This window comes from Homo sapiens, chromosome 3, assembly GCF_000001405.40.
Source record: "Homo sapiens chromosome 3, GRCh38.p14 Primary Assembly".
In the NCBI taxonomy this organism is placed as follows: Eukaryota; Metazoa; Chordata; class Mammalia; order Primates; family Hominidae; genus Homo; species Homo sapiens.
The window spans coordinates 15,539,890-15,565,132 of NC_000003.12; the positions used below are offsets into that span (position 1 = coordinate 15,539,890).

Here is a 25,243-nt window from a genome sequence, read left to right on the forward strand (position 1 = left end):
TTTGAACTGAAAAATTGTTCTATAAATTGAAGTCATCAAGGAAACTCAAAAGTGACATTAAGAGTCAAACAATTTTCACACAAAGCATTTGAAGAATATATGTGCATTATATAGATGAGAAGGGGGCTCAAGAAAAATGAGTAGGGGGCAGCCGCGGTGGCTCATGCCTGTAATCCCAGAACTTTGAGAGACCGAGGCAGGTGGATCACTTGAGACCAGGAGTTTGAGACCAGCCTGGACAACATAGTGAAACCCAGTCTCTACAAAAAATACAAAAATTGTCTGGGCACGGTGGCACATGCCTGTAGTTCCAGCTACTCAGGAGGCTGATGTGGCAGGGTCACTTGAGCCTGGGAGGTGGAGGTTGCAGTGAGCTGAGATTGTGCCACTGCACTCCAGCCTGGACAACAGAGCGAGATCCAATCTCGACAAAAAAAAAAAAATAATAAAATAAAAGGATGAGATGGGTATAGACCAGAGGGTGAGGGATGAGGGGCATGAGGGAACCTTAGGTATGCTAGCCCGGTTACACACTGAAGCAATGGAGATCTGCTGGGAGCCGACTAATAAGAATAAGACAATACTGGCCCAGGAAGTGCCAACAGATGCAAAGCCATATACAACATTCAAAGTCTTTTAATGTCTGTCATTTTAACAAATTGAGATGCCATATTCCACAGACCATAAATTCACGTAAGTCACCATTTTAGACTATACAATTCACTGATTTTTAGTATTGAATCTGAGTGTTGATGGTCTCAAAGCAAAGCAGGCTCTGTGTAAAGGTTTCAACATCAGGTCTGGACTATGACGGAAATGCCAAGGTCCTCCTGCTTCCTTGTATGTTAGAAAGCTATGGCAGATGTAGAATGTTGTGTCCAGAAAACCCTCTGCATCTGAGTTGCAAATTAAAACTGTTTCTCTGTGCCAAAGTGACTTAGCTCCTCCAGGCACGGAGTATGTCATTCTTACTTATAAAAGTTTCTAATAATCTATGATTTTAGAAAACAAAGCTTCTCACTGAATAAGAAAGGCAGCTGTTAGCCACTTATAGCTGCAGTGTGCCTCGGGATGAAAAATTTCCTCCTGTTAACTTCACATCTGGCTTTATCCATGTATTAGTCCATTCTCACACTGCTATAAAGAAATACCTGAGACTGGGTAATATATAAAGAAAAAAGGTTTAATTGGCTAGTGGTTCTGTAGGCTGTAGAGGAAGCATGGATGCTGCCATCTTCCTGGCTTCTGGGAAGGCCTAAGGAAACCTATTACGGTGAAGGGGAAGTAGACGTGTCTTACGTGGCCAGAGCAGGAGGAAGAGAGAGTGGGGGCACCACACACTTTTAAACAACCAGATTTCACGATAATTCACTCACTCACCATCATGTGAACAGCACCAAGGGGATGGTGCTAATCCATTTATGAGAACTCTGCCCCAATGAGCCAATCACCTCCCACCATCTGCACCATGGGAGATTACAATTCGACATGAGATTTGGTGGAGACACAGATTCAAATCATGTCAATCTGCATCTGTTATTCCAGCCTGATGCCTATTTAGGCAGATTTTTTTTTTTTTTTTACATTCTTAGCCCAAGCTCATTTTTATTTTCTCAGAGTGAAGAAGGCAGGCAACTCAGGCCTTCCAGCCCAGTGCTGTCCTCCAGAGGATCCGGCTTTAGCTGCCATCTGCCCACAGCTGCATAAGACAGCTCAAGCAGGATAAGCCGAACCACTGAATCCAGTCAACCAACAAAATATGAGAGAATAATGTCTTGGATTTAGTCACTCTGGTTTGGGATGGTTTATTGCGTATACACAGATTAAAGAATCAGTCATTCTTGAAGAAGAACTCTCCCCTGATGGCAGGATGGTAATAAGGCCCCTGAAAATTAGATCGTCCCCAGAGAAGAAGAAAACAAGGGAGAGGAATGAGCCTAAATTAAAGACTTACTCAAAAGAGACTTGAGTTTTAACCTCTACTGATAGAAGTCAGAAGAGTAATGGCTGTGGGGGATGCATGGGTTGGCTGGAGGGGGCATGAGGGAGCCTTCTGGATTATTGGCAATGCCCTATACCTTGATCTGGGTGGTGGTTACATGGCCACATACATATGAAAAATTCACCGAGCTGTACACTTAAATACTAAGTGGAAATGGAGTTCAGGAGCTAATTTCTATTATAGAGTAATAAAGAAAAGTTCACCAATTCTGTGAAATGTACACCTGCCACAACATAAGTGAAAACAAAGAATGGCAGACACATGAAGTAAACAAATATTTATATAGAAAAAAAGTATTATTTATGAATCTAAACAGTGAGTGACCAAGATGCCAAACAGAAACATGATTAAGAACAGGGAACTTGAGAATATAAAATTATAACATTGCTGGAATACTCATTCTTGTAACTCCTATTTCAATGAGTTAAATTAGAAGTAGACTATACCCTTTTCAAGATCATCATCCCTGGAATTAGAGATGGAAGGAAGCTTTGAAATCCTCCTTCACTGGTTCCAAAACTGGGCTGCACACTGGAATCACCTGGAGAGCTTTAAAAAATACTGATGCCTGGGGCCCACTCTAGAGATTCTGATGTAATTGGTCTGAGGTGTGGCTTGGGAATCAGGATTTTTAAAAGCTCCCCAGGTGATTTCAATGTGCCGCCAGGGTTGAGAATTATGGGTCAATTTCAACCACTCTTCTCACAAATGAGAACACAGAGGCCCAGGACTGGCAAATGGTTTGCTAAATATCCATTAATTGGCTGCAGCCAATTTTCTCTGATGTGCTCTAATAGGAGGGAGCTGTGGTATGGACAATACCAAACAATGAATAATCTAAAAATAATTTATATTTGGTTCGGGAAAGCAGCACATGACTTCCTGGCTGCCGACTGGCCTGGCTAATTCAGTTGGGTCGAAATGAATGTGCTCTTTCCTGCACTGACACTGACAACCCAGCTCTGTGCTGAGATGTGGAAGGAAGGTGGCCAAATTAAACACCGGCTGCAGCCAGTTCTCCAGTGGGCAACAGACATGGTGTCAATGGCACATAGTAACAATATGGATGTAGGGACTTGTCTAACAGAGGATTCCACGATGGAGCAAAGCTAGCTTTCTCCTCATCCTATACTCTAAGAGGGAGGGGGACCAGAGGCATAAAGACGGAACGAAGGAAGAGGGGCTTATGTTTTTCAAGGAGCTATTTGGTGCCAGGTTTCATAATAAGCATTTCTATAAACAGCATATGGTCTTAGCTCTATAGAGTTAGGCATTCTGGAACCCACATTATAGAGATGAGGAAACTGAGGTTCAGAGAGGTTGTATAACCCAAAGCAGAGCCAGAATAGAAACTCCAGCTTACCACACTCAACACTTTCCGACATACCATCTGTCTGTCGAAGAGGGAGAGATGCAGATGGACTTGGGTCAGATCCTTAGATTGTAAGTGCTGCTAAGCAAACTTCACCTCCCGATTTTTCAGTTCTAACAGTCTAAAGGCAGCAACAAAGAGACCTCCAGAAAGTACCTGTGCAGCCATGAGAATCTGTCTCCAATCACGGGAGCATAACTGACCAAGAGCCCCAGCTGCCACTCTCTGAAATCTGTCACCCACATTTACGCTAAGGCCACATTTCCCAGGCATTGTGCTGCTCCTCTCCAATGTCCAGTAGAAATATGAAGGTGGCCCTGTTCCTGGGAGGCATGGGACTCCTCTGATAAAAGTCTTGCCAAATTCTCCTCAGATGGCACCCAGCCAGGATGCTTCTGCCCATCCTTCCTACCCTCTTTCCTCATTGAGGTCTGACCTGCATTGCAGTCTGATGGCTCTCAGCCTTTTCCAGCTCTTCTGTTTTCTCTCACAGAGGCATTTCCCTTAATAAAGTCCCTCATGTATTTAATCCTACCTTGGCATCTACTTTCCAGAGGACCTGGACAACAGAAATGCCCCTAGCTAATGGTGCCCCCAACTATACACACATCACAGTGGGGAAGGCGAGGAGAGAAAAGGTCATCTGCTGACTCATCAAGGGGAAGCTGGTCTGAAATTTTTTAATAAAATTGTGGGTACACAGGTGTATAAATTTATGGAGTACACAAGATATTTTGATACAGGCATACAATGCATAATAATCACATCAGTGTAAATAGGGTATCCATCACCACACATATTTATCCTTCTTTGTTGTTGTTGTGACAAACGATCCAATTATACTCTTTGGGTTATTGTAAAATGTACAATTGTTGACTACAGTCATCCTGTTGTGCTGTCAAATACTAGGTCTTATTCATTCTTTTTATTCTTCTGTACCCATTAACCATCCCCACTGCCCTCTCTCCTGACTACTGTTGCCAGCCTCTGGTAACCTCTCTATGTCCATGAGTTCGATTGTTTTAACTTTTAGCTCCCACCAATAAGTGAGAACATGTGAAGTTTGTCTTTCTGTGCCTGGCTTATTTCACTTAACATAATGACCTCCAATTCCATCCATGTTGCTGCAAATGAAAGGATCTCATTCTTTTTATGGCTGAATAGTACTCCATTGTGTATATGTACCACATTTTCTTTATCCATCCATCTGCTGATGGACACTTAGGTTGTTTCCAGAACTTGGCTACTGTGAACAGTGCTACAATAAACATGGGAGTGCAGATACTGCTTCAATATACTGATTTTTCTTTTGGGTATAAGCCTAGGAGTGGGTTGCTGGATCATATTGTAGCTCTATTTTTAGTGGGTTTTTTTTTTTTTTTTTTTTTTTTTTTTTGAGACATGGTCTTGCTCTGTCACCTAGGCTGGAGAGCAGTGGCACACTCTCGGCTCACCATAGCCTCTACCTCTTGGGCTCAAGCAATCCCCCATCCTTAGTCTCCCGAGTAGTTGGGACTATAGGCATATACAATCATGCCTGGCTAATTTTTTATTTTTGTATTTTTGTAGAGATGGGGCTTTGCCATATTTCCCAGGCTGGTCTAAACACCTGAGCTGAAGCGATCCACCCTCCTCAGCCTCCCAAAGTGCTGACATTACAGGTGTGAGCCACTGTGCCCGGCCCTCTATTTTCAGTTTTTTGAGGAACCTCCAAACTGCTCTCCATAGTGGTTGTACTAATTTATATTCCACCAACAGTGTACAAGAGTTCCCTTTTCTCCACATCCTCTCCAGCATTTGTTATTGCCTGTCTTTTGAATAAAAGCCATTTTAACTGGGGTGAGAAAGCATCTCATTGCAGTTTTCATATGCATTTCTCTGATGACCATATTTAGCACCTTTTCATATACCTGTTTCCCATTTGTATGACTTACTTTGAGAAATGTCTGTTCAGATCTCTTGCCCATTTTTTAATTGTATTAGATTTTTTCCATACAGAGCTGTTTGAGCTCCTTATATATTCTGATGAGTAGTTTGCAAATATTTTCTCCCAGTCTGTGGGTTGTCTCTTCACTTTGTTTCCTTTGCTGTGCAGAAGCTTTTTAACTTGATGTGACTCCATTTGTCTATTTTTGCTTTGGTTGCCTGTGCTTGTGGGGTATTACTTATGGTTCAATCTTGGTAGGTTGTATGTGTCTAGGAACTTATCCATTTCTTCTGGGTTTTCCAATTTCTTGTCATATAGTTGCTCCAATGATCCTTTGAATTTCTGTGATATCAGTTGTAATGTCTCCTTTTTCATCTCTGATTTATTTGGGTCTTCTCTTTTCCTTAATCTGGCGAAAGGATTTTATTTTTTAAAAAATTGTTCTGTTGAACTTTTGCATTGTTTTCTTTATTTCAATTACATTTATTTCTGCTCTGCTCTTTATTATTTCTTCTACTAATCTTAAGTTTGGTTTGCTCTTGCTTTGCTAAATCTTTAAGATATATTGTTAGGTTGTTTATTTGAAGTTTCTCTATTTTTTCTTTTTTTTTTTTTTTTGAGATGGAGTCTTGCTCTGTCACCCAGGCTAGAGTACAGTGGTGCAATACTGGCTCGCTGCATCCTCTGCCTCCTGGGTTCAAGCAATTCTCCTGCCTCAGCCTCCTGAGTAGCTGGGATTACAGGCATGTGCCACCACACCCAGCTTTTTTCTTTTGTACTTTTAGTAGAGACAGGGTTTCACCATGTTGGCCAGGCTGGTCTTGAACTCCTGACCTCAGGTGATCCACCCACCTCAGCCTCCCAGAATGCTGGGATTACAGGCGTGAGCCACTGCACCCAGCCAGTTTTTCTACTTTTTTGATGTAGGTACTTATAGCTATAAACTTCCCTCTTAGCACTGCTTTGCTGTATTCCATAGGTTTTGGTATGCTGTGTTTCCATTATCATGTGTTTCAATAATTTTTTCAGTTTCCTTCTTAATTTCCTCACTGACCCATTGGTTACTCAGACACATACTGTTTAATTTCCATGTGTTTGTATAGTTTCCAAAATTCCTCATTATCGATTTCCAGTTTTATTCCATTGAGATCAGGGAGGAGACTTGATATTATTTCAGTTTTTTAAAATGTTTTAAGACTTGTTTTGTGGCCTAACATATGGTCTATGCTTGAGAATAATCTATGTGCTGAGGAGAAGAATGTATATTCTGCAGCCATTGCATGAATTGTTCTATAAATATCTATTAGGTCCATCTGGTCTGCAGTGCAGATTAAGTCCAATGTTACTTTGTTTTCTGTCTGGATGATTTGTCCAATGCTGAAAGTGGGGTGTTGAAGTCTCCCACTATTATTATATTGGGGTCTATCTCTCTCTTTAACTCTATTAATGTTTGCTTTATATATCTGGGTGCTCCAGTATTGGATGCATATATAATTGTTATATCCTCTTCCTGAATTGACTCCTCTATAATTATATAATAATCTGGCCTCTTTTTACAGTTTTTGTCTTGAAGTCTATTTTGTCTGATACAGGTATAGCTACTCCTGCTCTTTTTTGATTTCCATTTGCATGGAGTATCTCTTTCCATCCCTTTCTTTTGTCTATGAGTGTCTTTATACGTGAAGTGTGTTTCTTGTAGGCAACAGATCATTGGGTCTTTTTTTTTCTTTATCCATTCAACCACTCTATGCTTTTTGATTGGAGCATTTAGTCCATTTACATTCAATGTTATTATTGATAAGTAATGACTTGTTTTCTGGTTGTTTTGTGGTCTTCTCTTCCTTCTTTCCTTCTGTCCTGTCTTCCTTTCTAGCCGAGGTGATTTTCTCTAGTGGTATGTTTTAATTTCTTCCTTTTTATTGTTTGTGTTATCAATCATATGTTTTTTGATTTGAGGTTACCATGAAGCTTGCAAATAATATCTTATAACCCATTTCTTTAAACTGATGACAACTTAACACTTGTATAAACAAGCAAAGAGAAAACTAATTAAAATGCTACACTTTTTACATCAGTATAGTGTGAGAAATAAAAATAAAAAATCTGTACACTTTAACTTCTTCCCTCTACTTTTTATTTTGTTTTTGTTTTAATTTATACCTTACTGAACTCTGTCTTGAACAGTTGTTGCAGTTATTGTTTTGTTTTGAGATAGGCTCTCACTTAACGCCCAGGCTGGCTGTAGCCTCGACCTCCAGGGTGGTGACTCCCACCTCAGCCTCCTGAGTAGCTGAAAGTGCAGGAACATGCCACTACACTCAACTAATTTTTTGTATTTTTTTGTAGTGACAGGGTTTCACTATGTTGCCCAGGCTGGTCTTGAACTCTTGAGCTCAAGCAACCTGCCTACCTTGGCCTCCCAAAGTGCTGGGATTACAGGCAAGAGCCACTGTGCCTGGCCATTTTTGACTTGTCCATCATTTAGTCTTTCTACTTAAGATATGAGTTTGCACACCACAATTACAGTGTTATAATATTTTGTGTTTTTCTGTGTGTTTACTATTAACAGTGAATTCTGCAGCTTCAGATAATTTCTTATTGCTCATTAAGGTCTTTTTCTTTCAGATTGAAGAATTCCCTTTAGCATTTCTTGTAGGACAGGTCTGGTGTTGATGAAACCCTTCAGCTTTTGTCTGGGAAAGTATTTCTTCTTCACAGTTGAAGGAAATTTTTGCTGGTTATATTATTCTACAGTAAAAGTTTTTTCCTTCAGCACTTGAAATGTGTCATGTCACTCTTTTTCCTGGCCTGTAAGGTTTCCACTGCAAAGTCTGCTGCGAGACGTACTGAAGCGTCATTGTATACTGTTTCTTTTCTCTTGCTTGTAGGCTGACTTCCTTATCCTTGACCTTTGGGAGTTTCATTATTAAATGCCTTGAGGTAGCCTTCTTTAGGTTAAATCTGCTTGGTGTTCTATAACCATCTTGTACTTGAATATTAATATCTTTCTCTAGGTTTGGGAAGCTGTTATTATCCTTTTGAATAAACTTTCTACCCTCATCTCTCTCTCTACCTACCTCCTCTTTAGGGCCAATAACTTTTTTTTTGAGACGGACTCTTGCTCTGTCACCCAGGTTGGAGTGCAGTGGCACAATCTTGGCTCACTGCAACCTCCACCTGCCGGGTTCAAGTGATTCTCCTGCCTCAGCCTCCTAAGTAGCTGGGACTACAGGCACGTGCCACCACACCTGGCCAATTTTTTTGTATTTTTTGTAGAGATGGGGTTTCACCGTGTTAGCCAGGATGGTCTCGATCTCCTGACCTCATCATCCACCCACCTCGGCCTCCCAAAGTGCTGGGATGACAGGCGTGAGCCACCATGCCCGGCCTTAAGGCCAATAACTCTTAGATTTGCCCTTTTGATGCTACTTTCTAGATCTTGTAGGCATGCTTCATTCTTTTCTTTCTTTCTTTTTTTTTTTTTTTTGTCTGTGACCATGTATTTTCAAGTAGCTTGTCTTCAAGCTCACTGATTCTTTCTTCTGCTTCATCAATTCTGCTGTTAAGAGACTGAAACATCCTTCGGCATGTCAACTGCATTTTTCAAATCCAGAATTTCTGCTTGATTCTACTTAATCGTTTCAATCTCTTTGTTAAATTTATCTGAAAAGATTCTGAATTCCTTCTGTGTTATTTTGAATTTCTTTGACTTTCCTCAAAACCGAGTTCCTTTTGAATTCGGTCTGAAAGTTCACATATTTCTGTCTCTTTGGGATTGGTCCCTAGTGCTTTAGTTAGTTTGGTGAGGTCATGTTTTCCTGGATGGTCTTGATGCTTGCAGATGTTCATCAGTGCATGCACATTGAAGAGTTAGGTATTGATATGGTTTGGCTGTGTCCCCACCCAAATCTCAACTTGAATTGTATCTCCCAGAATTCCCACGTGTTGTGGGAGGGACCCAGGGGGAGGTAATTGAATCATGGGGGCTGGTCTTTCCCATGCTATTCTCGTGATAGTAAGTCTCACGAGATCTGATGGGTTTATCAGGGGTTTCCGCTTTTGCTTTTTCCTCATTTTCTCCTGTTGCCACCATGTAAGAAGTGCTTTTTAACCTCCCACCATGATTCTGAGCCTCCCCAGCCATATGGAACTGTAAGTCCAATTAAACCTCTTTTTCTTCCCAGACTCGGGTATGTCTTTACAAGCAGCATGAAAATGAACTAATACAGTAACTTGGTACCAGTAGAGTGGGGCATTGCTGAAAAGATACCTGAATATGTGAAAGCAACTTTGGAACTGGCTAACAGGCAGAGATTGGAATAGTTTGAAGGGCTCAGAAGAAAACAGGAAAATGTGGGAAAGTTTGGAACTTCCTAGAGACTTGTCGAATAGCTTTATCCAAAATGCTGATGGTGATATGGACAATACAATTTAGGCTGAGGTGGTCTCAGATGGAGATGAGGAACTTTTTGGGAACTGGAGCAAAGATGACTCTTGTTATGTTTTAGCAAAGAGAGTGGCAACATTTTGCCCCTGCCCTAGAGATTTGTGGAACTTTGAATTTGAGAGAGATGATTTAGGGTATCTGGCAGAAGAAATTTCTAAGCAGCAAAGCATTCAAGAGGTTACTTGGGTGCTGTTAAAGCCATTCACTTTTATAAGGGAAGAAGAGCATAAAAGTTTGGACAGTGTGCAGCCTGGCTGTGCGATAGAAAAGAAAAACCCATTTTCTGGGGAGAAATTCAAGTCAGCTACAGAAATCTGCATAAGTAGCAAGGAGACTAATGTTAATCCCCAAAACCATGGGGAAAATGTCTCCAGGCAATGTCAGAGAACTCTGCAGCAGCCCCTCCCATCACATGCCTGAAGGGCCAAGGAGGAAAAAGTAGTTTCATGGACCGGGTCCAGGGTCCCCGTGCTGCGTGCAGCCTATGGACTTGGTGTCCTGTGTCCCAGCGGCTCCAGCCATGGCTGAAAGGGGCCAACATACAGCTCGGGCTGTGGCTTCAGAGGGTGGAAGCCTCAAGCCTTGGCAGCTTCCACATGGTGTTCAGCCTGTGGGTACACAGAAGTCACAAGAACTGAGGTTTGGGAACCTCTGCCTAGATTTCAGAATATTCATGGAAACACCTGGATGCCTGGGCAAAAGTTTGCTGCAGGGGCAGGGCCCTCATGGAGAACCTCTGCTAGGGCAGTGCAGAAGGGAAATGTGGGGTCAGAGCCCCCACACAGAGTCCGTACTGGGGCACCACCTGGTGGAGCTGTGAGAAGTGGGCCACTGTCTTCCAGACCCCAGAACAGCAGATCCACTGACAGCTTGCACCATGTACCTGGAAAAGCTGCAGACACTCAATGCCAGCCCACGAAAACAGCGAGGAGGGAGGCTGTACCCTGCAAAGCCACAGGGGCAGAGCTGCCCAAGACCATGGGAACCCAACTCTCGCATCAGCGTGACCTGGGTGTGAAACCTGGAGTCAAAGGAGATCATTTTGGAACTTTAAAATTTGATGGCCCCCTGGATTTAGGACTTGCATAGGCCCTGTAGCCCCTTTGTTTTGGCCAATTTCTCCCATTTGGAATGGCTGTATTTACCCAATGCCTCTACCCCCAGTGTATCTAGGAAGTAACTAGCTTGCTTTTGATAGGCAGAAGGGACTTACTTGACTTGTCTCAGATAAGACTTTGGACTGTGGACTTTTGGGTTAATGCTGAAATGAGTTAAGATTTTGGGGGACTCTTGGAAGGCATGATTGGTTTTGAAATGTGAGGACATTGAGATTTGGAGGGGCCAGGGACAGAATGATATGGTTTGGCTGTGTCCCCCAACAAATCTCAACTTGAATTGTATCTCCTAGAATCCCCATGTGTTTTGGAAGGGACCCCAAGGGGAGATAATTTAATCATGGGGGCTGGTCTTTCCTGTGCTATTCTCATGATAGTAAGTCTCAGGAGATCTGATGGCTTTATCAGGGGTTTCTGCTTTTGCTTCTTCCTCGTTTTCTCTTGCCACCACCATTTAAGAAGAGCCTTTTGCCTCCCACCATGATTTTGAGGCCTCCCTGGCCATGTGGAACTGTAAGTCCAATTAAACCTCTTTTTCTTCCCAGTCTCCGGTATGTCTTTACTAGCAGCATGAAAATGGACTAATACAGGTATCTATTGTAGTCTTCACAGCCTGAGACAGTTTGTACCTATACTTCTTGGGAAGGCTTTCCAGGCATTTGAAGGAACTTGTGTGTTGTGATCCAAGTTTTTGGCTGCTGCAGCCAAACCTGCATTAGGGGGCACCCCAGGCCCAGTAATGCTGTGTAATACCCCAAGACCTTGGCGGTCTTGGATAAGATCCAGAAGAATTCTCTGAATTGCCAGGCCTAGACTCTTGTTCTCTTACCTTACTTTCTCCCAAACAAATGTAATCTTTCTGTGCTGTTCCTTCTGGAGCTGGGGGAGGGATGACACAAGCACCCCTATGTCCACCACCACTGGGACTGCACTGGGTCAGACCTGAAGCCAGCACAGCACTGGGTCTTGCTCAAGGCCCACGGTAACCACTACCTGGCTACTGTGTATATTCACTCAAGGCTCTAGGGCTCTACAATCAGCTGGACAAAGCCAGCCAGGCTTGTGTCCCTCCCTTTAGGGCAGTGAGGTCCCCTCTGCCTTGACTGGGTCCAGAGATGCCATCCGGGAACAGGATCTGGAGTCAGAAAACTTCGGAATTTACCTGGTTCACTATTTTACTGAGGCTGAGCTGGCACCCAAGTCACAAGACAAAGTCCTTCCCACACTTCCCTCCCATTTCCACAAGAAGAGTCTGTTTGTGGTCACCACCACCCCAGGCACACAGCAACTACTGCCTGGCCACTGCCAATGTTCACCCAAGGTTGAAGTCCTCTTCAGTCAGCTTGTGATGAATACTGCTAGGCCTGGGACTCTCCCTCCAGGTCACTGGGCTCCCCTCTGGCCCAGGGCAGGACTAGGAATGCCATCCAAGAGCCAAGGCCTCATACTGGGGACTCCAAGAGCCTGCTTGGTGCTCTATTCACTGTGGCTGAATTGGTACCTAAGCTCCAAGACAAAGACACCTTTACTCTTCCCTCTCCTTTTCTCAAGCAGAAGGAGTCTCCCCCAGTAGCCATCACAGCTGGGAATGTGCTGGATCATACCTGAAGCCAGCACATCTGAGTCTCACCCAAGGCCCATGATGAGTACCACCTGGCTACTACTGCTGATTATTCAGGGCCCAAGGGCTCTTTCATCAGCAGGTGATGAATCCTGCCAGGTTTGGATCCTTTCCTTCAAGGCAGTGGTAGGGGTCTAGCCCAGGTAGGTCTAGAAATGTCATCAAGGACCTAGGGCCTGGAATGGGGGCCTCAGGACTGCCTGGTGCCCTACCCTACTGTGGCTGAACTCGAAGACAAAGTCCTCTTTACTCTTCCCTCTCCTTAGGCAGAAGGAACGAGTCTCTCCTAGAGCTGCGAGCTGCACTGCCTGGGGCAAGGGAAGGGGTGGTATAAACACTCCCTTGGCCACCCCGGCTGGTATCTCACTGGACTGTGTGCCCCTGAAGTCTACTGGCTCCAAGCCCAGCACAGCATCAAGACTTGCCCAGGAATTGAAGTCCTTGTGGCTTAGACTGTCTTTCAAGTTTATTTAGGACTCCAGAGTACTTTAGCCCTTCTGGCTAGGAGTGGTCTAAATGCTCCCTCCATGGACACCAGCTGAGTTCTGCCTCATGATGCTTTCTGCTGTGACACAGCAGCACTAAGTTCCAATGCAAAGTCCCACAGTTACGGCACTCTCCCTCCCCTAAATGCACAGATTCTCTCCATGCCACACAACCACTGCTGGGGCATGGGGGAGGGGTGGCATCAGCAATTCAAGACTGTCTTTCCTACCCTCTTCAGTGCCTCTTTCAGTGATAGGAAGTTAAAAACAGGTACTGTGATTTCTCACCTTATTTTTGCTTCTTATGAAGGTGCTTTATTGTGTGGATAGTTAATTTGGTGTTTCTGCAAGGATGATGATTGGTGGAGGCTCCTATTCAGCCATCTTGCGCCACCTCCTCCCTCTTTTCTGGTCTGAGATTTTGAAGGTGAAGACTACAGAGGAGCAGCTTTCTCAATATGTTTGCCTTTGTCATTGGTCTCAGTGCTATGAAGGAAGGTGGTTTAGGCAACAAGTAATTGACTAGCATTTCAACTAGCCCTGACTGGGGGTTAATTGCCAATAAGTCACTTGTTATTGCAGGTGACCACAAGCCCCAACTTGGAAATGGTAGTAGGTATTCTTTTTTGATCTTGTCATGTATTTCAACCCTGCAGCCTCAGTAACTCCTAATAGGGAGGTTTTCTTGTCATCTTTTACTCCCTCCTGAAGGAGGAAAGTAGATAAATGACGTGCTGATTCTAAAACACCTAGAAGGAAAATGGTGCGTGCCCACCAATGCCATTTAGCCTTGTTTTGGAAGTACTTGCCAATGCCACTAAATAGCAACAAAACAGATTAATATCTAGAAACAAATTTAACAAAAATTGTGTAAGATCAATATAATGAAAACTTTAAAATTCCACTGACAACTAGGCCTCAATGACCCTGAAAGAACTGCCCAGCACAGGGTTAGACAATTCCCAGTGATAGCAAATGATTCACCTGCTTGAGCCTTACTGACCTTGGAGAGGTCAAACAACTCGCCTTTCATACACAAGCCAACCAATCCAGAGCTCATAACCCCAACTTCCCTCTTCATGGCCCTCTTTATGGTGCTCTCACATTCTGGGAGATTATCTCCCTACCCAATCACCCCAGGCCCGCATTCAGACAGCTAGGGACAGCCTCTACACCATTCCTGAGCATATCGACATTGTTCAAATAAACAAATCCTAAACTTGTTTACCCTGCCTCACTTCTTTCTTCCTGCAGTAATCACAATAGGGTTTTAGCCCACTAGTTCTCATTCTCTTTCTACCTGAGACCTCTTCTTGGGAACTCTGAGTAATAACTATTTTTTCAATACCAACAGTCTCCTGATATGTTGGCCTTACCGAATATTTTCTGTTAACACACTATATTTTAAAATACACTGTAATTAAAATATCAGATTTTTTTGCTACTAAGGTTAATATGGAAAAATCATCAAGTGAAAATAACTGCTGGGCCTGGTGGCTCATGCCTGTAATCCCAGCACTTTGGGAGGCCAAGGCGGGTGGATCACCGAGGTCAGGAGTTCGAGACTGGCCTGACCAACATGGTGAAACCTCGTCTGTACTAAAAATACAAAAATTAGCTGGGTGTGGTTGCAGGCACCTGTAATCTCAGCTACTAGGGAGGCTGAGGCAGGAGAATCACTTGAACCCAGGAGGAGGAGGTTGCAGTGAGCCGAGATTGCGCCATTGTACTCCAGCCTGGGCAACAGAGGGAAACTCTGTCTCAAAATAAACAAATAAAATAACCATAAAAATTCTGAAACGCAAGAGTAATGTAGGGTGGTGTGGAGAGGGGATGGATGGAGTGGCTGATGGAGGGTAGGGAGCCAGGGATGGCACTACGAACCATTAAATGGTTTGATGAATGTAGTGGATATAAATCTCAGTCCACAACAGTGTGAAAGAAATATTTATTTTCAGTAATTCTATCTAATTTTAATTTTGACCTTCATTTTGCCAGGGTGGAAATAAAACTTCAGTCATTTTAGGGCCTCACGATCACCAGCCCCCCATCCCCAGCATTGCTCTAAGAACCGCTGGGCTTACTTAATACCCAGGCATCAGGGTGGACCTCTGATCCTTGGTAGTTCATCCATTCACCCTGCATCCTTGTTTAAAATTGTCTGCTATAGCTTTTGTGATATAAACCCTTCCTGGATTACTTCCTTCCCAAAACAAGATGGTGAGGGAGATGGGAATTTAGCTCACCGTGAACACTGAGTTTGTGACAGGGGTGCACCCCAGGTGCGGCAGGAACATTCAGAGAAAGGAAGGCTTCATGGAAGAGTGGACTGTTGAGCTGGGCCTTGAAGCATATAGCCAACTCCACACGGCAAAAATGGGTGGGTGTGTACAGAGCATCACAGCAGAAACAGCACAAGCAAAGCTGGGGCTGAGGTGAAACCAGGTCTGACTTCTTGAGTCTAACTTGACTGTGCAATGGGGAGGCAATTCCTGCAAATATGGAGGGACGAGGGAAGTGAGCCTTGGGAGTGAACTACATGGCTGTAGATTAGCCACTCCACAGAGCAGGCTCCAGCAACCACTGCATAGAAGGAAAATCATGGATCTTGCCATCTCTGCAGGTATTTCTAGGCCCTGAATCAAAATTTAAAGTGGTTCCTTCAAACTTTGAAACAGGAGATCCAGGAGTTTCTATGTGTTCCTTTCATAGCTCCCTAAATGGAAGAGTGACCATACAACCTGGATGTGCCATGGGTTCACTGGCCAGCTAGCGCCTCTTCTAAAAGAGAGGGCCCTGGAAGGGAGGGAAGATTCAAGATAATCTAGCAAAAGCCAGAGGCAATCCTGCCAGTCAGATCAGAATCCAAGGCATACACTTTTATCTCCATCTCTTCCCAGAGTAAAGTTTATAGGATTGTCAATTTCTTCTTTCCACATTATTCCATTTATTCAGATTAGCAGCAGCAAATGCAACCAGAAAACACCAGATAATTTACACTTCATCTGTATTTTACTCTCTGTAATAGTCAGTAGTCAGTTTTCTTGGGGTTTCTCAGTCATAATTCCCATCTGGAATGTAACTGGTTTCCTACTTTCTTTCTTCTTTTTTTTTTTTTTTTTTTTTTTTGAGGCAGAGTCTCACTCTGTCACCCAGGCTGGAGTGCAATGGCTTGGCTCACTGCAAGCTCCGCCTCCTGGGTTCACGCCATTCTCCTGCCTCAGCCTCCCAAGTAGCTGGGACTACAGGCGCCCGCCACTACGCCCGGCTAATTTTTTGTATTTTTAGTAGAGACGGGGTTCCACCGTGTTAGTCAGGATGGTCTCGATCTCCTGACCTTGTGATCCGCCCGCCTCGGCCTCCCAAAGTGTTGGGATTACAGGCGTGAGCCACCGCGCCCAGCCTGGTTTCCTACTTTCTTAAAACAGTCATATGATGTTCTACTGTAATCACTTTACATTTGCATTATTTCAGAGTCATGGGCTGCTTCTTCATTGGCATGCACTGCTTCCCCACTGCCTAACTGTCTTGAAAATAAAGGAACAAAAACAATTTGGGATTAAATATAATTTTCCATTTCATTTTCTTTTTCCTTCAGTGTCCAAAAGTCCTACCATTTTCTTGCAATGGATTTGAGACTTTTTTTCCCTATGGCACATACACTCACTTCACAAAATAAGCTGAGCTACTTCAAAGTAGCATGTATGAAATAACTGTAGAACATCTCCACTGAGCTATTGTTAACCATCATGAGTTCCCATTTAACACGTAGTTAGTGAACTCTTAAAGAGTACTATGGCTATATAGAGAAGTGAAAATACACAACCCCTGATCTCCAGGAAATGTCTAATTTACTTGAAGTAAGACCCAGTCACTTGAGAAAAGGGAAACCACTATGTCTACTTTCACATTCACCGCTAAGCAGGGATTCCAAGTGGTGTTCTCTTCTCTAAATTCTCACCTTCCTAAAATGCAGTGGCACTTATTGAGTGCCTTTTATATGCCAGGCATTGGGCTAGGAGCTTCTGGGTGGCTTTCTGAATCCCCAAATAACCCCATGAAATATGAAAGATTTCTGGAAAGACTATTAGTAGAGAAAGTAACCTAAGAAACCATTTCACTTTGGGAGGTTGAAGTGGGAGGACAGCTTGAGCCCAGGAGTTTGAGACCAGCCTCGGCAACAGTGTGAGACCCATCTCTACAAAAAACTTTAAAAATTAGCCAGTTGTGGTGGCATGTACCTGTAGTCCTAGCTACTTGGGAGGGTGAGGTGGGAGAAGTATTTGAGCCCGGGAGTTCGAGGCTGCAGTAAGCTATGACTGTGCCACTGTACTCCAGCCTGGGCAACATAAGAATACGCTGTCTCAAAATAATGATAATAATAATAAAACTCATTTCCCATTCATCTCCTCAACCCTGGATTCTGGGTTTTTCTAAATTAAGAAAACTGCCATAATCTTTCGAAGCTCAGTTTTTATGAGGCAATTGGATATTATTAACACATATAATAGGATCACATAAGAAATTCATTATTAAACTAGGGGCTACAAAATATTCTATCAAATATCTATCAACCAATAGATTCATTTTAGAGGGGTATTTTCAATATTTTATCCTTCTAAGGAAAATCTTCTATGAGGAGATTAATTTCAAGATCATTTTTACTAAATAAGCAGTCAATGGACTCTGTCAATTAGTGCCCCTGGACTAATGTGGTCTTTATACACTTAGACTGACCTCTGCTGGACAGTCTAATAACCTGTCAGCATTTTTTTTTTCTCTGAGAGTATGATTAGGAAAGGGGCATTTTCCCCAAATTTTATCTAGTATTTAGTAACAAATTTACACAGTTCAACTTACAAATATTAATCAAGCCCTCTACACCACCTAATGGCAAAATCTTATATTGCATTCGGCTGCCAGAGGTGTGTCCGGAGGCAGAGTGGGAGGAGACTGATGAGGTTACATGAACTATCCAGTCTGAATGCTCCTTTTCATAGTCTCTTCCTCCTGTGCAGGACATAAGAATACCTGAGAAATGAGGCTGCTTCCACGAGCCTGTCAGGGGCCAAGTCACAGTATCTTCTGGGTTCACCCCTAAAACTGAAGTCTACCACTTCATGGTGGTCACTTGTGCCTAAACTAGCCAGTGTAGACAAGTCTGATATGGGTGGTGCAAACAAGCTGAATTTTGATATAAAGTCCTATGCTTCAATTTATGTAAAACTGCAGATAAAAAACACGAATGACCCTGAAAATAAGTGATGCTTTTCCATTTCAAATATTCTTTTAAAATAGTGCCTGCTTCTGATAATAAAAATTACATAATTATTTTTAAAATTCTATAAAGGAAAAAATTAAATAAAAATTGCCTACAATTCCATCTACCAAGTTGTATTACAATTTTAGTTTATTTTGTGCCCATCTCTGTTCTGTAAGCAAGCAGGTATGCATGATTATGGTTATTTCCTTACTTCACTCCATTTCATTTTGTAGCTTGCCCTTTTCACACGTTGTATTGTGATTATTTTTCAATTAATAAATAATACAATTTTTATTTTATGATGATAGACCATCACTTATGTAACCAATGTCCTACTATTAAACATTGGAATTGTTCCTAAATAAAACTACGCTACATGGCCTTTTATATAAATATTTGACCAAATATTTTATTATTTCTTCAGGATATATTCCCAAATAAGCTCAATGGGGCCTGGCACAGTGGCTCATGCCTATATTCCCAGCACTCTGGGAGGCAGAGGCAAGAGGATAGCGTGAGCCCACGAGTTTGGGACCAACCTAGGCAACATAGTGAGACCCTGTCTCTACAAAAATAAAATAAAAGAGTAGCCAGGCATGGTGGTATGCGCTTGTAGTCCTAGCAACTCGGGAGACTGAGATGGAGAGATCACTTGAGTCCAAGGACGTCAAAGATGCAGTGAGCCGTGATCATGTCATTGCACTCTAGCCTGAGCAACAGAGCAAGACCCTGTCTTGAAAAAAAAAAAAAAAAAGCTCACGGGGTCAAAACTTACGCGGTATGAACATTTTTAAGACTCCAAATACCTGCAATGCTAGAATTACTCTACAGAAATGTACCAACTTCAACTTCCATCAGCAGCATAGGAGTCTCCATTTTCACTTCCACTTCACCAAAATTCAGATTAATTTAGAAAGTTCTTTGCCAAGTGGATAGGCCAGGAAAAAAAAAGGGATTTTCAGTATAACTTACATATTCATATTCATGCTTTTACTGAGCATTTATATTTTTTCTGTGAATTGTACATTCACGCCCTTTGCCCATTTTTCTACTGGCACCTTAATATTTTTCTTATATATAAGAGTTCTTTATATTTTTATTTTTTTATTTTTGAAAGGGAGTCACACTAAGTCTGTTGCCCAGGCTCAAGAACAGTGGCGGGATCTCGGCTCATTGCAACCTCTGCCTCCCAGGTTCAAGCGATTCTCGAGCCTCAGCTTCCTGAGTAACTGGGATTACAGGAGTGTGCCACCATGCCCAGCTAACTTTTTTATTTTTAGTAGAGACAGGGTTTCACCATGTTGGCCAGGCTAGTCTTGAACTCCTGATCTCAAGTGATCCACCCGCCTCAGCCTCCCAAAGTGCTGGGATTACAGGTGTGAGCCACTGTCCCTAGTCTGAGTTCTTTATAGATTAAGGTTAACTCTGTTGGTCTAAATGTGGTATGCTTGAACTTAGGTCGCTAGTCCAAATATATCCTGAAATTATTAGTTTGGGTGTGATGTGACTTTGCCTTTGGCTCAGTAAATTCCTTCCAGGAAAAAAAAAAAACAACCTCATAAAATATAGGACCAGCCCCATTAAATACTGGTGACACTTAGGTACTGAGTGGTCAAAAAATAAAATAGGAAGCAGAAAGAGCCTATGTATCTCAACTAACTGAACATGTCTCTACATTAGACAATTCTTACAGCTTTTTTCTTCAATTTTTAAAAGACAGGTAACTGCCTTAGTCTGTTTAGTGTTGCTATAAAGGAATATTTACTAAAGCTAAGTAACTTGTTTTAAAAAGAGGTTTATTTAGCTCACAGTTCTGATAGCTGGAAGGTTCAAGACTGGGCATCTGATGAGGGCTCAGGCTGCCTCCACTCATGGGGGGAGCCAGTGTGTGCAGAGTCCACACAGGGAGAGAGAAAGCAGGAGAGAGGCAGGGAAGGTGCTAGGTTCCCTGCGGGGTGCTAGATTCCCTTTTTGTTTTTGTTTTTTTTTTGAGACGGAGTTTTGCTCTTGTTGCCCAGGCTGGAGTGCAGTGGTGCAATCTCGGCTCACCACAACCTCCACCTCTTGGGTTCAAGCGATTCTCCTGCCCCAGCCTCCTGAGTAGCTGGGACTACAGGCATGTATCACCATGCCCAGCTAATTCTGTATTTTCAGTAGAGATGGGGTTTCTCCATGTTGGTCAGGCTGGTCTCGAACTCCCGACTTCAGGTGATCTGCCCACCTCAACCTCCCAAAATTCTGGTATTACAGGCATGAGTCACTGTGCCTGGCCACTAGGTTCCTTTTAACAACCAGCTCTAGTGGTAACTAATAGAGGGAGAGCTCATTACCCTGAGAACTCATCAAACATTTCATGAGGGATCCATCCCCATGACGCAAACACCTCCCATTAGGCCCTACCTCCACCACTGGGGATCAAATTTCTACATGAGGTTTTGGGGAACAAACATCCAAGCTATAGCAGTAAAATAATATTGATATGTAAATCAACATTTAGGCAGTTACAATGCTATTATGTAATAAAAGCTCTCCATTCATCTGTAAGTAGTTTTGTGGCAGAATAACTTTTTCTGTTACTTTTTCTAACTTTTTCTGTTTTTAATCAATTCCTTTACTGTAAAATGTCATTTTAAATGTTTATTTTATTTTGCACAATTTTAACAGTAGAGTAATTTTGCTGTGGAAAATAAAATTTCATCTTGCAAGAAAGAGAAAACTCAAGACCACCAACTGGCGTCTTTATTTACATATTAGAGCGGGTCAGCCAATGAAAATCCTAGAAAAAGAAGACAACAAACATTCAGTCAAAAGAAATGATTGTCTCAAATTATATCCTCATTGTTTCACTTGTTCTAAAACCTAAAAGTCCTACACAATGGTGGCAAAATGAGGTTTGTCTTTGTTCTGGTGCTTTTCCCAAAAAGGACCTAAAAACCTATTAGTGAATCTTCCTGCTGTGTCCTATAAAACAACCTAAAATGGCATTCTGGGTCCTCTTCCATTCACAGTAATCAGAGCACAAAAACTATAGTCTAAAAGAACCAGAAGTACACTCAGAAGGAGAAGGGAGATGAAGGAGGCCCACAGAGGGCTGAGCTCCCAGGTCTGAGGACATGAGTAGGAAGAACTGTGCACGGAAGTCTTTTCCAGAACTAACACCATCCTATACATATGGCCTGGACACAGGCACAGATATAGGCATTCCCATATTGAGGCAGGAAGTGGCCAGCCTACACTGAGAATCAATGATAAATGGCAGACGGACAGAAAGACAAAAATCAACAGTTTGGAAAGTATAATGTATGTAAATTCCACTGGAATGAAAATAAATAATTTCAAAGTGATAAATGTAAGAAATATAAAAATAATCCTCATAGAATTGTAAAAGAGGAAGACGAGAACTCATATTTCTCCAGCAATATCCAGCAATATCCAAACAAAATTCATAGAGAAACTGTAGAACAGATCATTGGAAGCAAATCAATAGCATGAACTCACTAGCAGAGATGACAGAATTTGTTAGGGCTTTTCTGTGATTAACATAGGTCTCAAGATGATGATGATGATTATTATTATTTTGAGAGACAGTCTCACTGTCACCCAGATTGGAGTGCAGTGGCACAATCTTAGCTCACTGCAACCTCCACCTCCTGGGTTCAAGTGATTCTCGTGCCTCCACCTCCTGAGTAGCAGGGATTACTGACATGCACCACCATGCCCAGTTAATTTTTGTATTTTTAGTAGAGACAGGTTTCACCATGTTGGCCAGGCAGGTCTCAAACTCTCAGCCTCAAGTGATCCGCCCACCTTGGCATCCCAAAGGGCTGGGATTACCGTGCCCAGCCATCAAGATTATATGTATTCATTAAGCTTCTTACAGTGGCTTTAGTTTCCCCAGGGCTCTGATGGCCTGATGCCCGGAGGAGGGTGTTTTTGGTTACCAAACTAACATCCCAGTCACTGGAAAGTATAAACCTAGTTATAAATCCATAAAGTGGCATGAGATGAAAAAGCCTGTCTATTGAGTGTCTGACTAGCATAAATCATTTTAAATAGAACTTAAAAAAAGAAAAGGCAATCCACAAACCCACAGGAGTACAGATAGATTCTGAAAGTGGCAGACCCTCCCTTAAAACAGTCTGCCTGCTTGCTCCACAGAAATCCCTGCTAATGCCCCCTGCCCTTCAGCTTACTAGGCTAGTTTTTCTGCATTCATCTTCCTCATCACTAGGTTTCTTGAGTATCTCCTCTCTCTGCTAGGAAGTAAATGCCAAAGTCATTGAAATCTGTTTTTACACAAATAGAATTTCAATAGAATTCTATATATTTTAGTGTCTAAATTAGTTAATTTATATTTCATTGATTATCCAGGTATCTGTTTACCCATTCATCCACCGCTTTGTTCACAAAAGAAAGAGATTCCATATATATAAGAACCAAGACAGAAAGTACTTGAAAAAAATATCTGCTCTGATAAGAGTGGCTGATACACAAACTGTTCGCACGGAAGACAGGTTATATGAGGCGGCAAGTGGCAGAACCAGGATGGCAGTAGAAAATTAAGTATGAAATGCAACTTACTCTGGGATAGGAGAGGCTCATGCTATGAACTTTGTCATTTACTTTACTGCTGTAATCAACACTGCAGTTTCACCCTGGAGGTCAAAGTAACTAATTTTGAATGTACCTGCACAAATCCTTGTATTACAGTTGCATCTCCCTCTTCCTCAGACTTGCCATGCTTCCTCTTTCCTCTTGCTACAGAGCCTGTTGCACATCTCTTCCCTCTCCCCTTTGCCGAGTTAGTCTCTGCTTATCCTTCTGATCTCCGTTTAAGAATCACCTCCTCTGAGAAGCCTTCCCTGTAACCCCAACATAAATCTGATTCCTTTGTGGTACGTTTGCTCAGAACTGGATTCCTTTCCTTCCAAGTAATTGCTTCACTCTGTCATAGTGTGTTCAGTTGTGAGGTTACCAGACTGTCCCTCTCCCCTACCAGACTACAAAAGCTCCATGAAGTCGTGAGGACCGAGCCTGGTTTGGCTCACCATGCTATTCGTAGCACCTAACACATATCTCAATATTCACTGAACAAGTACATGAAACTGCCAAACTCAGAAATGGTTTAGAAAGACCTCTGTGGATGATAGAGGGTGTTCTGTTTGGTAGATACTTTTTGGAGGGGGATAGGGGAAGCAGATGCATTTCTTGCTTTCTGCTTAGCAACTGTATTTACCTGGGCCTTCCGTGTGGCTTGTGGCTCAATCATGATGTTGATAAGAGAAGGTTTAGTTGTGTCTGCTAGGCTCTGCCTCAGGGATTTTTGGAGTTCTTCTGGTGTTTGTACAAAATACCCTTTGCCTCCAAATGCAGTCATGACTTGCTCATAATGTGAATTTGGCAGCAAACACATTGGAGGGACCCTGAAAAACAAGGTCATGAGTCAATGAAATTTAAATCTTAAACCTTGTAGAAAAAAAGTCATTCTCTGAAATACTTCATTAAAAAAATTTCAGCTGAACTCAAAGGCATACTTTTATCTTCAACACTTAAGCTGAGATGCCAGTACACTGAGTTTTTCCTATATTTATAATTGTCTATATAGCAATGTCCAGTAGAACTTTCTGTGATGATAGAAATGTTTTAAACCTGTGCCATCCAAGACAGTAGCCACTATCTACCTGTTGCTGTGAGCACTTGAAATGTGACTAAACTGAGGAACTAAATTTTTAATTTCATTTAATTTGAAGTAATTTAAATCTAATTTGCAACAGTTGCAGCATGCCTAGTGGCTACTATACTAGACAGCACAGGCTACATTATCAACTATTATGAATCCAGAAGAAAAACATGAAAAAAAAAGATTACTGCAAAACAACAAATAATAAGAAAACAACAAATAAAGTTAGTGAGGCATAAATAGACACACCCATACCCTGTTCCACCCCAAGGCTGGCTCACAAATTCATATCTGTCTCACATTCTACGGCCAGCTACAATACTGTCTTAATCTGGCTCTGCCATCAGATGATCAAGATTTAGCTAAGTGGTGAAAGGAAGGTAGACCTCTGGAACACAAATAATACGTAAACATCCACATTTCCAAATGGTGTAACAGGAATCAGTAGTCCTACTATTGCTCCCAGTCCAGGGAGCATTTTGCAATAAGCCTTTTCATTAACAAGGCTCAGACATCACACTCATTTATCTGAGTCTTCAGTGGCTCCCTGATTATTTACTGAAGCACCTAATCATGGATATTTGTGCAAAGAGGAACTAAGACAGGATTCCTTCTCTTTAGAAGGGCTGACAATCGAAACGGACAATACTCATACCATGTAGGCACATTACTGCCAATATAGAAGACTTTTTAAAAAGAGATTAAAACGGGAAAGAGAAAGTAAACAGACATTGGTCTTGGTTACTTACACTGCAGTAGCATCTTGAAATTTTAACATTTCTTTCCAAGTATCTGTATCAAAACCTTGGTAAATTCCATTGTTATTCACTACCAACAGTATGATTGGCAAGTTGTACCTAAAGTGAGAGTAAAATATGAAGGAAATCATTCTTCATTTTAAAGTAATTTCTTTTCTTTGGGTTGAAACTTTAACTTAAAAATGAATAGTTTCCTATAAGCTTTTTGTATTATTAGAGGAAGACTAAAAATCAAGCATTTATTATCCTAAGAAAGAATATCAAATAATTAACAGAAACATCATGGAAAGGCAGAAAGAATGCAAGATTAAGAGTTGTTAGTCCTGGCTGGGCATGATGGCTCATGCCTGTAATCCCAGCACTTTGGGAGGCTGAGGTGGGCGGATCACAAGGTCAGGAGTTCAAGACAAGCCTGGCCAATATGGTGAAACCCCGTCTCTACTAAAAATACAAAAATTAGCTGTGCATGGTGGCATGTGCCTGTAGTCCCAGCTACTCGGGAGGCTGAGGCAGAAGAATCGCTTGAACCCGGGAGGCGGAGGTTGCAGTGAGCAGAGATCACACCACTGCACT

General features: G+C 42.3%; 1 protein-coding gene across 5 annotated transcripts in view; it reads right to left on the reverse strand.

Moving 5' to 3' along the window:
* Nucleotides 1-20,809: 20,809 nt before the first annotated feature.
* HACL1 (2-hydroxyacyl-CoA lyase 1) overlaps nt 20,810-25,243 on the reverse strand; it is a 40,871-nt gene continuing 36,437 nt past the window's right edge. For all 5 annotated transcript variants that reach the window (NR_104315.2, NM_001284413.2, NM_001284416.2 and 2 more), the window contains 3 exons: nt 24,662-24,769; nt 23,469-23,655; nt 20,810-21,008 (listed from right to left, as the gene is read on the reverse strand). Coding sequence is in view for 4 of the 5 variants with exons in the window: in NM_001284413.2 (NP_001271342.1) it covers nt 20,976-21,008; nt 23,469-23,655; nt 24,662-24,769 (328 nt within the window). In the remaining variant the exon portion in view is untranslated. The remainder of the gene's footprint in view (nt 21,009-23,468; nt 23,656-24,661; nt 24,770-25,243) is intronic.